This window comes from Homo sapiens, chromosome 11 (genome assembly GCF_000001405.40).
Source record: "Homo sapiens chromosome 11, GRCh38.p14 Primary Assembly".
NCBI lineage: Eukaryota > Metazoa > Chordata > Mammalia > Primates > Hominidae > Homo > Homo sapiens.
In genome coordinates, this window is record NC_000011.10 from 30822286 (window position 1) to 30837988 (window position 15703).

The 15703-nt window shown below is 39.8% G+C and overlaps 1 long non-coding RNA gene across 1 annotated transcript in view; it reads right to left on the bottom strand.

Annotated features, from left to right (window-relative positions):
- Window positions 1-8085: 8085 nt before the first annotated feature.
- Window positions 8086-15703, bottom strand: part of LOC107984419 (uncharacterized) — a 28828-nt gene continuing 21210 nt past the window's right edge. Inside the window, exons 4-5 of the long non-coding RNA XR_001748485.1 lie at window positions 9003-9084; window positions 8086-8321 (exon numbers count right to left, since the gene is read on the bottom strand). This is a non-coding gene — a long non-coding RNA (uncharacterized LOC107984419). The remainder of the gene's footprint in view (window positions 8322-9002; window positions 9085-15703) is intronic.

The following is a 15703-nucleotide window of genomic DNA, read 5'->3' on the forward strand; positions in this document are numbered from 1 at the left end:
GGTGGATCCAGTCACCATGCTGCAAGTCACTGATGAACACTGTGGAGAGACCCATGTGGAGAGGAACTGAGGACTGTCATCAACAGGCAGCACCAACTTGCCAGCCATGGGAGTGCACCATCTTGGAAGCAAATCCTCCAGCCCCAGTCAAGGCTTCAGATGACTGCAGCCCTGGCTTACTTCTGACTCAGTCTCATGTGAGACTCCACCAAGAACTGCCCAGACAAGTAGCTGCCAAATTCCTGGCCACAGAACTGTGAAAATTAATTAATGTTTATTGTTAAGCCACTGAGTTTGGGGGGTAATTGGTTTCACAGCAATCAATAATACACAAGGCATTAAGTTATTCATTCATTTGTTGACTAAATATTTTTTTCAATATCTGCTCTGTACCAGGAGCCTGACTGATCCTACCATGAACTCTAATAAAGGGAGAATAAGAGAAGAGAAACAGAGCTTGTGACAACAGGTTACATATTGCCTTTTCTTGCAAACTGACTGGTCCTTAGGTTCACCCTGGACAGAGACTTGAAGTTTGATTTCACCAGCAACTGAATTTACTCCTTGGGTACCTGTATTAGCTACAAGTGACAGATACTCAATCACTGTTTTGTTTTTTTTTTAAAGGGATTATCAGCTTATGTAAGTAAACAATACAGGTACTGCTTAAGTGATTTATATGTCTTACTTCATGTAATTCCCAAACTTCATAAAGGAAGTACTCACATGATCCCCACTTCACAGAATGGGAAAACTGGGGCACAGAGAAGTAAAATAATGGTTGAATTTAGGTGCTCAAATGATCATCCATAACCTCTTTCTCCAGCTCTTGGCTCTGTTTTTTCTTATTGGTTTCAGATGCAGACAGGTTTTCCCTAAGTGGTGGTAGGCAAGGCCCCCAGCAGCTCAAACTTACCAGCTTAGTACTCCCCAGAGAGAAAGTACATCTCCTTCCCAGTGGTTCCTGAAAATGTCCCTGGACTGGCACTCATTGGCTCTGATCATCCCAGTTTGCTCCCTGGCCTGCTGTGTCCTAGTTACAGCCAGACTTCTGTCACATGTCCACCCAGGAGTGAGGTGATGGGGTAACTCCACCTGAACTTCACATACTCAGAGCAAGGGAGGGGTAGCTTTCCTAAAGGAAAATCCATATCTCATTGCCAAGATAAAGGAAGTTGAATGCTGTTGGCAGGCAAAAATAACTGATGTTCACCAGAGCGCCCTTCTCACTTTGTTGACTGGAGTAGAGGGTGCTAGTGGGAGAGGGTAGGAAAGAAAACTAGTAAAGTCATTTTGGATCAGATGAAGCCTTCTGTTTATTCCTTCATTCCCTAAATGTTTATAAATAAGCTTTTGCTAAGCCTTAGGGGTCAATGCAATGGTGTGCTGGAGGTGGGTTTCATTGACTTGTGAGAGCCAATTATTAACGTTTCAGAAATTTTGCAGGATAGTATCAAACATAGCCATTTTCAGATTTATATGGGCCAGGAGCCTGTAATTCCAGCACTTTGGGAGGCTGAGGCTGGTAAGATTGTTTGAGCTTAGGAGTTCCAAACCAGCCTGGACAACATAAGACAATCAGGGATGAATTTATTTTTCTATTGATTATCTAGACTCAAGAAAGTGATGGAGAAAGTTAATGATGCAAATGTATCCATAACCATTACATTGTAAATGGCACAAAATATTGAACAAATATTCCTCCAGTATTTGCAAATGTCTGATTTAGCAAAGATGACTCACATCTTTGATGATAAGTGAAGTTTCAGTGTTTCCCCTTTATATTATGTGCTGAAAGAAAATATCAACTGACACGTTGGAACTATACTTGTTCATCAGTTGCAACTATAGATTAGCAACAGACACAGGAGTTTGGCAAGAATTAACAAAAGCATTCTATAAGAATCAATTGGCTAAAGGAAGTTTACAAGAGTATTGTACTTTTTTATTATTTGTAAAGAGTGTGCTAAACATCTGTTATATCAATAAACTTTTTATAATTAAATAATGTATACATATACATGCATAAATTCCCTGCCCCTCCTCCTCCAGGGCACAAGTTATTCAGCATTTACCGGGGTGTTACTTTATAAAAGAGTAAATATGCAGTATTATATCAAGCTAAAAATTTTAGACTATTTTGTAGTCAATGGAAGCCATTGGGGTTTTTTGAGCAGAGGCATGGCAAAATTAGATTAGCATTTTAGAAAGTTCACTCTAGCAGTGATATGGAGGATAGACTGAAGATAAAGTAGTTACGGAGGTCTCTTAGAAAGTCTATTCAAATTCAAATGCAATTAATAATATCCTTCAGCTAAGTGCTAGACTTTATGCTAAGAAATTTCATACCCTATTTATTTTACTCCTTATAGCAGCTCTATTGAGGTAGAGATCATCATGACAAAGGCAATGAGACTAGATATAAAGGTACAGATTTAAGAAGAAAACAGACTGACTAAGCAATGCTGAGTGTAGCCTAGGTGTAGACTTATTTAGCTGTCTGGCAACCAGTCTCTAGTGAACGACAACACTAGTGTCTTTTGAAAAGTCACCCCTCCCATTGCACCTATCTGCCTTGGCCACCCAAGGAAAAACCACATCACCCAAACTAAGCCAAACAGCCTGCCTTTCCTTGTAAGAAAATTAAAGAATGGGAAAATGGGTGGAGGGCATGTATTCCAGAGAAAGTACTTAGCATAGCTGGCTAAATCATTAGCTCTGCCTGCACCCAGAACAGCACTGGTTTCTGTCCTCTTTCTAAACCTAGTTTCCAGCCTCCAATAAATAATCTTTTTACTGAAGTTTTCCAGAATTGGCTTCTATTGTTTGCAACCAGAAAAACTCCCACCACTACTGTGCCTAATTAGAAGAAAAGGCACAGGACTGGGTGATGTTTAAGGCTTAATGTTTAAGAAAGAAGACAGTAAATAGTCCCAATTTTGTAATGCCACTGACACAAGTGATTACAATTTGTTCTGTAGGTCTCTTTTGCTCTGAAGAACAATCTCCGTTTTAACATTTGTGTACGATGGGTTTCCTGAGCTCACATAAAAGGGAACCTCGGCTCCTTTATTTCTATCAGTTTCCCCACCAGCTGCACTGAGGTGCATATTAATGATGGCTTGGCAGACCCTGGTCTGTGAGGCTGAGAAGCATGAAAGACACACCTATGTGTGTGTGATCTGTGCTATCAAAGGCCACAGGAACATCAGTGGGAAGGAAAATTGACACAGTGACAGAATCCGCCCCTTATCAAACAGAAGGTCTTGACAAGTCCTCATTAGAGAGGTCTCTGTGTTTTGGACTGATTGAAATGTCTCAGTCTGCAAGGATCCTGAAGCAAAGGTCAAAGTGGCCTTGCAATTGGGCCTTCTAGCTTCTCTTTCTGTGGAGGGGATGAAGAGAGCCCTTAAAATCAGTCAGGACCAGACCCTGGGCTAGCAGGAGTGCTTAATCAGCTGCCCTAGGTCTCAGACAAGAAAATTCTGACTGTTACCAAGGAGGTATTAATGACGGATACCATAAAAGGCAGTGACCTCATAGCTCTCAACTTCTCTGTCAAACCCCTAGTTGGCAACAGATCAAGGAGGCAGGTTGCCACACTGATCACATCTGGCTGCGTCTATAAGAAAGATCAAAGTGGCAGGCCTGTAAGTCTGAGAGAGGCCCACTTGCCAGTTTCCATCTCAGCAGCCCACTGCCTGGCACCTGGAGGAGGCTCCACAAGGGTTTGTGGGTAAAAGGCGAGCAGTGGAAGAAGGAAAGGATCTGCTGCTGCTGCTCTGAGTCTGGGGGGGATTCTCTTTCTCATCATTGCAACTCCTGGGGCTTTGGTCCAGATGGGAGGAATTGCCTCCTGTTCCACTCCTGCCTCCTCACTCCCCAAATCCTGAGTAAGATTCAGATTCTTATGAAGGCAGATGGAGGCCTGGGACTCTTCTGACAACACTTCTTTTTATTCATCCTGGAGACCACTCGGAAGATAAGCATAGAAGAGCTCCAGCCTGGAACCCCTGCCTTAGCTATTCCAGCTTTGCCTGTAACAGAAGTTGCATCAGGCTTTAGTCTTTTCATTTGTTGAAAGGAAGCATGAGCCTAATTATTCTAAAGGGTCCTGTCCAACAGTAATCTTCCATGTGTTGGGCTAACAGAATCGCGTCTGTCACTGCTGAGTGTATCTTTACTTAAAACACAGATTCCCCAAATAGGGTTGCATGCCTTCTCTTCTTGACAACGGCCTTTCATGTTGTTACCATTATAACCTTCCACTGACATTATCAAAGTCCAGAAAGCAAAAGCCTGATGCCAGAGATAACAAGGCAAAAGAACCCACCCAACAAGGCCCGAGTCACGGTCATGCACTGACAGCCACCCCAGCCACCGAGGCCAGGAATACAGTCTCTCAGTTAAGCCATTTCCTGGAGCGAAAACCAGCATTTTTCCACAGAGCCAACCATTCAAAGCTGCCCTCTCTGCCCTTTCAAATTTAATTTGTTTCAAATCTTGTAGGAGCTACAGAATTATTTCAGGATTGGAGTCAAGTGAAAACAGGTGTGCCACTCTTTCATCCGCCCCCCCCCCCTTCAAAGGGGCCTGATTAGCCACCAGATTAATCGAGCTGGCCAATGGGGAGAGCGAAGCCCTGCAGCTTGCCTGAGCACCAGTCACTGGGATGCTGACCCAGAGTCTGGGGGTCCCAGTATAGGACCCCTGACCTGGTTAAACTTCTCATGCCCTACCCAAGTGCCCATGCAGTGACAGGACTTGGCTATGACCTCATCCGCCCTGTGCCAATATCTTTCTCTGCCCTTGTGCAGGCCATTCTGGCCTTGAAAGCCAAGGCATGGTGATCCTGCCTTCCAAGATAAACCAGAGTTCTGCTCTTGGCTATCCCAGCATTTGCTTTGGCAGTTCCATTTAGGCTGACCTTCGTGATGTGTCAATATTTGGGGGGCTATGCATGGAAAACATTTGCAAAGTTTAAAATGAAATAGAAAAGTCGTATTCAAAGACAAAAGTTGGAGTTCAGCAAAAAGTCAAACCAAAGGGAAAAATTATTTTCACTGTGCAATCCCTGGAAGGGGAGCTGTTAGCACTCAGGGCCACTGTAAAGGGACATTTTTGCCCCAGATCCTGCTGGAGAGGACTGCAGGGCTCACACCTGGGATGGCTTTTCTCTTCTATCTGTACAAACCCCTTTGGTTTCTTCATTTCTTCTCATGGCTAAATACCATCTTGATACTGACAACTCCCAGGCTTAAATCTCCAACTCATGCCCCTCTCTCTTGAACTTCAGGCTTATATATTAATTATTGATTTGTTATCCCTTCTCAGCATCTAAAATATGCAAAACCATTCCATCCTAAATCTTGCTTTCCCTCAGTCTTCTCTGTGGCAGCACTGTCCTTTCCTTTGTTCAGGCCCAAAACCCTGGAGTCATCCTTGCCTCCTCTCTTTCCACACCCCACATGCAGTATCAGGGCATCTCATCTGTTCTACCTGCAGAACATGTCTCAAGTCCAACCACTTCTCACCATTTCCATCACTATCACCCTGCTACAAATCACCACAATTTTCCGCCTAAAAAAAATGTAGTAGGCTCCTAGCTAGTCATCCTACTCCCACCCCACCCCTCTACCCTGACCCTGGTTGCAAAGAGAATGAAAGTTATTCTTTTAAGATACAGTTAGGTTGTATCACCATCTGCTCAAAACCTTCCAGTAGTTTTCTGTCTCATTAACAATAAAAGCCAAAGTCACCACAAGGGCCTTAAAGATCCTCCAATATCAGTTCCCTGTCCCACTTCCCACCAGTTAACCCCTGACCTCATCACCTGCTGTCTTCTCCTCACTCACTCTGCTCCAGCCACACTGGCCTTCCTGATGATCCTCAAGTTCAGCAACCATGCTCCCACCTCAGGACTTTGCTCCTGCTGTTCCCTCTATGTGCTGTTCCCCTTCCCCCAGGTATCTCTGTCTGCTTTGCTTCCTCAACTGCTTTAGCTCACTGCCAAGATTTGCTTTAACAGAGGCAGCATCTCCAACCACTACATAAAATAGTAATGGTCACACCTTCCTCTGCATCATAGCCCTCACTATGTTCCTCATCCTGTTTTATATTTTTATGTGACAATTATCTCCATCAGACTTATTATAGACACATGTATTTGTTTATTTTCTGTATCCCCCAACTACAGAATAAATTCCAGGGGGTTGAAACCTCATGTTGTTCACTGCTGTATCCCCAGAACCTAGACCAATGCCTCGTACCTGGTAGACATGAATATGTAATTTTTAAGATAATTAATACCCAGCAGCCTTCAAGTCTTCTGGCACCCTCAACTTTTCTTCGCATGATCACTCCAGGTTTAAGAGTGGAGCATGAGTCTCGGTGCTGATCAATTATAACACTTCGTGCCCCCCTCCACCACATACACACACACATGCAAAGGAATTGGATCAGGGAGGATCACATAACTCACTTGGATCCAGTGAGACGCAAAGACATTTTCTCTGGCTTCTGCGAAAAGAATATTGCTCCTTCCCATTTAATTTAACATAGAAGGGACTGGATCTGCTATAGCCATTTGGACACTTTGAGAAGAGTCCAGGCAGCATTGGAGATGAATTGATGGGAAGCAGTTACCAATCTTAAGGACTATATGATTCCATTGACCATGACCTACACATTTCACATAGAGAGACTTGAACTTCAGAGAGAAAATGAGGAAAAATAAATGAAGAAGCGCTTGTCCTTGCCCTTGTCCTCTTGCTGAGCCTTCCCACTTCCACCATTTAGAACTGTGATGACGCTTCAAGGTAGAGCAGGGATGGTAAACAGGTCATGTGCCATATCCGACTCTAACTGACAAGTTAGAATCTTGTACTAACTGGAGCTTAATACTGAGAAAGATTTAGAAACTGTGAACAGCTCAGCGGGGGAATGCACCATGATTGACTAGTAATGCCTGTTATAAGCACAAGACAGGGGAGGGATGTATTAATTTCTTTGTGCTTGGAAAAAGTATAAAATTGAGCTAATTTCAGGTACATGATATAAAATATATACATAATAGAGGATAGAGAAAAAAAAAGATGTGATTAGATGAGGAGGAAATCCAGTGATGGCTTCTGGAAGATGAACCAAGAATGGAAGCCAGGAAATGCAGACAGTCCACCAACTTTTTAATCTAGAGCAGAGGGGCCATGTCATAGAGAGGTTCAAGATAAGGCTGGAGATGTTCCACCAGGGACAGAATAATTGATGAGGGCCTTGAATGCTAGACTAAAAAAGGTGGATTGGATGCAGGCAGCAATAGGGAGTTTCTGTAGGGTTTGGAGCACATGAGGGTTGTAATAAGATAGATGTTTGAGGCAGATTATCCTGTCATTTGGATCCAGGATGAATTGAAGCCATGGGAATTGGTGGTAGGGAGGCTGGTTAGCATCCTGCAGCAATGAGTGCATTTCAAGGAAATGCACTCTGGAAAATGTCTTAAGCAGATCCGTCATGAATACGACCACAGACTCTTTAGCTGTGTCCAGACCTGTGCGGTGGACATGCTCAGAGAAGTCTCAGAACCTCCATAGCAGAGTTTTCAGAGTAAGGGACCTGGTCAGTTTTGGAAGGGTCTTTCCATTCAGTTCGCTGGACAGTGGCCAGGGCAAGGAGAGAGGCCATTCTGAAGCAGCTGTGAAAGCTTCTGTGTGAAAAGAATTGTGTGCCTTTTGTTGCTGTGGCACCACAAAGTCAGCTCACTGGGGTCTCCTGAAGTTTCCACTAAATCATACGTAGGAAGAGATGATTTGTTAATCACTAAACTTAACTCACATAAATGTAGGCTATATACTTAGGTTAGCCATAGTAATGGCAAGGGGTACAAGTGCAAATGTTAGCAGGGTCCAGGTTGGTAAAATAACAAAGCAAAGCAAGCTGGACTCTGGCGTACCAGGAGGCCACATTCTGAAAAAACAGTAGCCGCTCAGCTCTAACTGGTGGTTTCCATCAACTCATGTAGACTAAATACTTCAGTTTTTACATGAGAAGTCTTATATCTAGTGTTTCATGTGAAATTCCCTCATTCTTAAATGTTCAGAGCTATTTTAATTTTATTTTAACTGCTGATTTCTCTATTCAGATCTCTCGACTCAGAAGCTACAGATGTGGGTTTAGTCCCTATTATTGGATGTAGCACTTGATTCGAGGGAGGCAGATGAGGAGCTTCGTAGCAGGCAGCCTGGGATGAAATCTCAGCCAGCCCACTTTTCCTCTCGGTAACTGTGACCCAGGGACTCAGCACTGCCCAGCTTCCATTTCATTAGCTGTCAAATCGAGAAAATAACAAAGTAATTAAGCATTTGCCAAATGCCAGGCACTGTCTTGATTTTTTGCATTCTAACAATGACCCTATGAGGTAGTTGCTATTATATGTTCTCCATTTTTCAGATGAGAAAACAGAGATGCAGAAAGTTTTAAGTACTCCTTCAAAGGACTGCAATAATAATAGATGTGAGGCAGTTGTGGTGGTTGCAAAGCACATTCTAAGCATTAGTTGTTATTGTCATTATTGAGTATGACTCAGAGAAAAGGTGTTTTTTAAAATCACAGCTGTTGGCAGCTGTTTCTGCCCGGGGGAGTGGAAACTTTTTTCTTGACATGGCTCTGCATTTTGAAAAATGCCTGGAGAGTCCTCTTAGAGTCTAATGCTGAAGCTTCTAAAGGATTGGCCCAAATGATGCATCTGGGCAAATTGTGATGTTGAATTGTTCTTCAAAACAGTGGGAGGATTTGGAGGGTCTGGGGATCCTGAGCAGAGGGAATGAGGGAGCTGAGAAGGAGGAGGGAGGAGGAAGGGGTAAGGAGGACGTTGAAGGGGAATAGCTCAAGCACCATGGTGAGAGCCTGGAAGGACTGGAGAAGGAGATGGTCAGTGAGTGATCTTGTGCTTTGCAGGACTGGAGGAGACATTGCAATTATTGACAAATCAGGCTACATGCACTCACCTCTATTGCTGCTGAGCCTTCAGTACAATCCTTCCACTTACAAAGGCTGCTTCAGGAAAGCAGAGATAAAAGGGCTGTGTACCTTTGGGTAGAGGTGAGAAAGGGAGATAGTTAATACTTATAAAGCTTTTTCGCTGTGGCAGTCCTCTTCCAAGTGCTTTATGCTCATTTAATATCAAAAACAACCTCTGAGGAGATGTTCTATTAGCCCGTTTTTACAGATGAGGAAACTGAGGCAGAGTTACTCAGCTACAACTGACTCCAGATTCTGTGCTCTTAACTTCTATGTTATCCTGAAAGAAAGACACAGCTCCTGGAGAGGAGATCCTTGTGAAAGCAAGGATTCAAAGGAAAGAGATAGTAAGAACAAAAGTGACCAAAAAGACTATAACCCCCGGAGAATCCCTAGGAATATTGGGAGGCTCAGGGAGGAGGTTACTTGTTGCTGGTTTTTCCACTATCCTGCTCGGTGGGGACTTGAACCATTTTTACTTAAACATTAAAACAAGATGATCCACCTTCAACTGATCTTTGGGTGACACTGTTTATTTTCAAGATTCAAATAGGATATCCAAGTAACTAAGGCCTGTCATTCTAAGTCAATTCAGACATGAACCTTATCCTTGACCTGTGCAGATGAGTGATTAGTATACCCAGGTAGTATGTCCCACTTGTGTTAGCTGCTTCCCCAAGTGTGGGGAGAAGGTGATAACACCTCAGAAGCCTCCTGGGCATCGGAGTAAACTTAACTGAGAATGTTCTGAGTGAGGAGGGGAAGAGATCATTTTGTTATGTAGAGGACTATCAATCACTTTCAAAGATACAACTAATACCTAGATCTAAAAAGAGAAAATGGTTGAGCAAATTCATCAGGGAGGCTTTGATTTTGTCTGATTATGGGCAGAAAAGAGACAAAACTGTTGCGTGTTTTGAACTCTGTTAATTTGTGTAACACATGTTCTACTTATGTTTTTAAAGAGATATAGATCCACATGGTGGCTACTTTTTTTTTCTTATTGATTTGTTAAGCACAAGCATTGAAATTACTTTTAACTCACAACAACGGAAAAATCTTTTAATGAAAATAGTATCCACCAAAGGTTAAAAAGTTAAGGTTTGTCACAGAGGAAAATGAGACCGGCATGATCAAAATGCAATGCATGTTGCCCTTAGAGAGATCTGGCAGTCCCCGGATCTGTTTTGTCTCTAATCTCTCTCTCTCTCTCTCTCTCTCTCTCTCATCTTTCTCTTTCTCTCTCTCTCTTTTTGCTAGTAATCTACTAAAGAAGTGTCAAAAACTTATATTTTACTGATGATTCATTATCAAGTTTGGCTCTGTCGAAACAGCCTCCTTCTTTCTCTAATGCTGTTTTTGTTTCCCAGAATGGAAGCTGAAGGGAAAAATGGCACATGAATTATGACTTCTTTGAGATGCCCCCATCCAGTACATCAAGGGTTACTTCCCAAATTCCATTTTCTCTTATCAGGAATGTGTTACTGTTTGCACTTACACACTTTGCATCTGTATTTTCTGTCTTGGAAATTGCACATGTGAAGCAACTACAAGCGGTGACTGAGCTGAGGGATTGGCATATGTAGTAAGCATTTACAAAGAGAATCAGATCATGTGACCTCAAAAAGATGAGCTTCTTTTAGGTGGGATTTTGTTAGACCAATTGTGGTGAGCTCAAGTAGAGCCAAAAGGGAGGAAAGAGACTCAAAGTGAGAAAAGGGCACTTATGGAAGCTCAGAATTAAACAAAGAAGTCTTTTTGAGTATTAAGAAATAAAAACAATGGATCCAGAGCCATGGAATGGTGCCCAGGGCCCCCAAAAGCTCATTTGCTTTTAAGATTGTTTAGGCTTTAATTAGTGAAGCCTTGCCCAGAAGGATTAAAAATCTTGAACTTTGAAAAAGAACAATTTGCAAGGCCAAATGGGAAGAAGGCTGAGTGGATACAGATGGCAGTATAGAACTCACAGCTTGTTTAGTCAAGGATTAGAACTCTGAGCTCTGAGGTGGGGCTGGTAGTTTTATTTACAAGAAAAGTTCAGACCACTTTATTCTGCTTTAGGCATGAGATAAAACCTATCATGAAGAAACTTACAGAAATGATGTCCCTCTGTTTGTCGTTTTAATCTTTCTACATTTATCAAGCATCAATAGCTCACATTTTCCCCTACTTTCAATGCTCCAAAGCATATTGAATTCTTTACAATCCCTCCAAAGCCCAAACTATTTTATGTGTCTAAACCCTCCGCATAAAAATATTTTTTTCTACCTCTACCTGTAAACTCCCATGAATCCTTTAGAAACATATCCACTCATATCCTCTTCTCTGAAGATCTGTCTGAATCTTGCAGGCAGTGGATCATGTTCTCCTTTTTGTCATCTACTTAAATGCACCTGTGCAGTTGCACTTATCACTTTGTGTTGCATTTATTTGGTAACATGTAGAATATATGCAAAAGAATGCATATGGAATATATGTACATTTTAAGTACAATAATTTTAAAACACCTATGTACCAACCAAACAGCTTAAGTTATTGCCAATAACTTAAAATTCCTGCATGACTCACCCATCCCTCTGCCTACTTGCTCTGAAGTGGAAACTGCTGAAGAAATTTTATGTTTATTCTAACCTCGTTTTTCTTTCTAATTTTACCACATATATTCGTGTTCCTAAACAATGTAGTGTTTTGAGTTGCCTATTTGGAACCTAATAATGTGATATTAGGATTCATCTATATGGATGATTGAATCATGCTTTCTTAATGGGGGTGATACCGCCCTCAAGGGTTAAAATTTGATTCATAATGTGTACAGCAAAGTTATATATATGATCTATATCTTAGTCTTAATGTATACAGCAAAGTTGTATATATGATCTATAAATATGCAGTTTGTCTGTGGCATTAAAATTTCACCCAGGGTTGTTCAGAAAAAATACCTAAAAAGACTTCATAGGGATATGATATAAAAAAAAAAGATTGGGAAACACAAGTATGGGTCATATATTTTTATTGCTGTATAATATCTCATCAGATGACTAAACCACAATTCATCTATCTATTTTAATGATTATGGATATATGGGTTGTTTCAAATTATTTTTATTATTAAAATGGTGTTGTGCTCATAAACTTGATAGCCTAGATGAAATGAACCAATTGCTTAAAAAACACAATCTACCAAAACAAACACAAAAATATATAAGTAATCTGAATAGGTCTACATTTGTTAAAGAAATTAAATCAAACATTAACAACTTTCCAAGACAGAAAGCACCAGTCCTAGATGGGTTCACTGGTACATTCTACCAAATATTTAAGGAAGAAATTGTACCAATTCTCTACAACCTATTTCAGAAGATAAAAACAGAGGGCATACTCCCTAATACTCTATGAGGCAAACGTAACCCCAATACCAAAACCAGACAAAGATACTACAAGGAAAGAAAACCATAGACCAATATCACTCATAAACATAGATGTAAAATTCCTCACAAAATATTAGCAAATCAACTACAATAATGTATACAAAGATTTATCCACCACAACCAAGTAGAATTTATCCCAAGTATGCAAGGCTGGTTCAACGTTCAAAATTCCATTATTGTAATACATAACATCAACAGTCTAAAGAAGAAAAATCACATGGTCTTATCAATGGACACAGAAAATTATTTGACAAAACCCAACATCCACTCATAATAAAAACTTAATCAGCAAATTAGAAATAGATGGGAACTGCCTACATTTGATAAAGACCAACTACAAAAATTTACAGCTAAAATCATACTTAATGGTGAAAACCTCAGAACTTATCTGCTACGATCAGGAACAAAGCAAGGATGTCCCTTCTCATCACTGCTTTTCACCATTGTACTAGAAGACCCAGCTAATGCAATAAGACAAGAAAATGAAATAAAAAGTATACAGATTTGGAAAGAAGAAATAAAACTTCCTTTGTTCACAGATGACATGACAGCCTTTGTAGAAAATCTGAACTGATTTTTAAACATTATAAAACTAAGTGATTATATGATTTTCTAGAACTATAAATGCAGCATACAAAGTTAATATATAAAAGTCAACTGCTTTCCTATATGCCAGAAATGAACAAGAAAATTTGAAATTAAATCACATGACCATTTATATCAGCACCCCCCAAAATGAAATATTTAAGTAACATCTAACAAAATATGGACAAGATCTATATGAGGAAAACTACAAAACTCTGATGAAAGAAATAAAAGAAGAATGAAATGAATGGAAAGATAGTTTGTCTCCATGGATAGGAAGACTCAATAGTGTAAAGATTCAGTTCTTCCCAAGTTTATCTGTACATCTTATTTATATAACTCAGCAAGTTATTTTGTGGATATCAACATACTGATTGTCCAAAGTTTATGGTCAAAGGGCCAGAATAGTCAACTCAATATTGAAGACCAAAGTTTATGGTCAAAGGGCCAGAATAGTCAACTCAATATTGAAGAACAAAGTTTAGAGAACTGACATTACCTGCCTTCAAGATTTGATATAAAGCTACAGTAATCAAGACAGTGTAATATTAGCAAAAGAATACACAGATAGATCGATAGAACAGAATAGAGAGCCCAGACATAGACCCACATAAATATAGTCAACTGATTTTTGACAAGGAGCAAAGGTAATACAATAAAGCAAAGATAGCCTTTTCAACAAATGGTGCTACAACAACTGAATTTCCATATGCAAAAAAAAATCCTAGACATAGACTTTACACCATTCACAAAAATTAACTCAAAATAGGTCATAGATCTAAATGTAAAACTAAAAACCATAGAACTTCCAGAGGATAACTTAAGAGAAAATCTAGATGACCTTGGATATGGCAATAATTTTTTAGATATAAAACCAAAGTCATGATCCATGAAAAAAAACTAAGCTGTGCTTTATTAACATTAAAAGCTTCCACTCTGCAAAAGAAAATGTCATAATTAATTAGATGACAGCCTGGGAGAAAATATTTGCAAAAAGATACATCTGATAAAGAACTGTTATCCAAAAAATCTACAAAGAACCCATAAAATCAAAAGATAATGAACGACTTGATGTTATAAATGGGCAAAATACATGAACAGATATCTCACCAAAGAAGATACACAGGTAACCAAGAAGCATATGAAAAGATGTTCAATATCATATGGCATTAGGGAATTGAGAATGAAAACAACAATGCAATTCCACTACACACCTATTAGAATGGCCAAAATCTAGAGTATTGACAACACCAAATGCTGGCAAGAATGTGAAGCAACAGGAACCCTCATTTATTGCTGGTGGGAATACAAAATGATACAGGCATATGGAAGATGATTTTGCAGTTTCTTACAAAACTAAGATATTCTTATCATCTGATCCAATAGTCATGCTGTTTGGTATTTACCCAAATGAGTTGAAAACTTATGTTCATAGAAAAACCAGCACTAGGATGTTTATAGTGGCTTTATTCACAATTGCCAAAACTTGAAAGCAACCAAGATGTCCTTCAGTAGGTGAATGGATAAGTAAACTGTGGCACATCCGGACAATGAATATTATTCAGCACTGAAAAGGAATGAGCCATCAAGCCATGAAAAGACATAGAAGAAGCTCATATGCATATGTAAGTGAAAGACGCCATCTGGAAAGGCTACATATGGTATGATTTTAACTATATGTAATTCTGGAAAAGGCAAAACTATGAAGACAGTAAAGAGATCAGTGGCTGATGTGTGTTTGAGGGGAGGATGGATCAATAGGGAGAGCACAGAGGATTTTTCAGGCAGTGAAGCTACTCTATATGATATTAAAATGGTGGATACATACCATTACAGATTTCTCAAAATGCAGAGAATGTACAACATCAAGAGTGAACCCTAATGTAAACCATGGACTTTGGGTGACAATGATGTGTCAATGTAGGTTTATTGATGATAACAAATGTTCCCCTGGGGTGCAGGACATTAACAGTGGAAAAGCTGTGCCTGTGTGGGATCAGGGAGTATATGAAAACTCCATACCTTCTGCTCAGTTTTGCTCTCAACATAAAACTGCTCTAAAAATAAAGTATATTTACGAAAATGTTGCATGGACATTCTTGTACACAGCTACTGGTGCATATGTGCATCAGTTAATTTAGGGAATGCCTAGAAAATGAATTGATTGGTTGTATGGCATATGCATATCCAAATGTACTGGGTTATTCACAAAAATTGTTTCAATTTACATTCCCAACAACAGTGCATAAATCCTCTTTACTGCACCTCCTCACCAATGTTTGGGATTGTCATGTGTGAAAATTTGTCATTCTTGTGGTTGTCAACAACAAAAAAACATGTTTGGGATTTAGTCTATTATTAATAAAGTAGAGCATCTTCTCATGTTTATGCCAGTGCAAGTTTCTTCCTCTGTAAAGTACTTATTTATTTATTTTGTCATTTTTGGTAGGGTTGTTTGTTTTATTGATGGGTAGGAATTATTTATGTTCTGAATATTGTTCCTTTGTTGCTAATATATGTTATAAATGCTATTTCCAGTATATGTCCTTTTTTCATTCTATTATGCTTTTTAGTGAACAAAATTTCTTAATTTTAATGCAGCTGAATTTACCCTTTTTTTATTTTTTATTAATATCTGCTTCTGTTTTTGACATTTTCTGTCCTCTACTTTTGTTG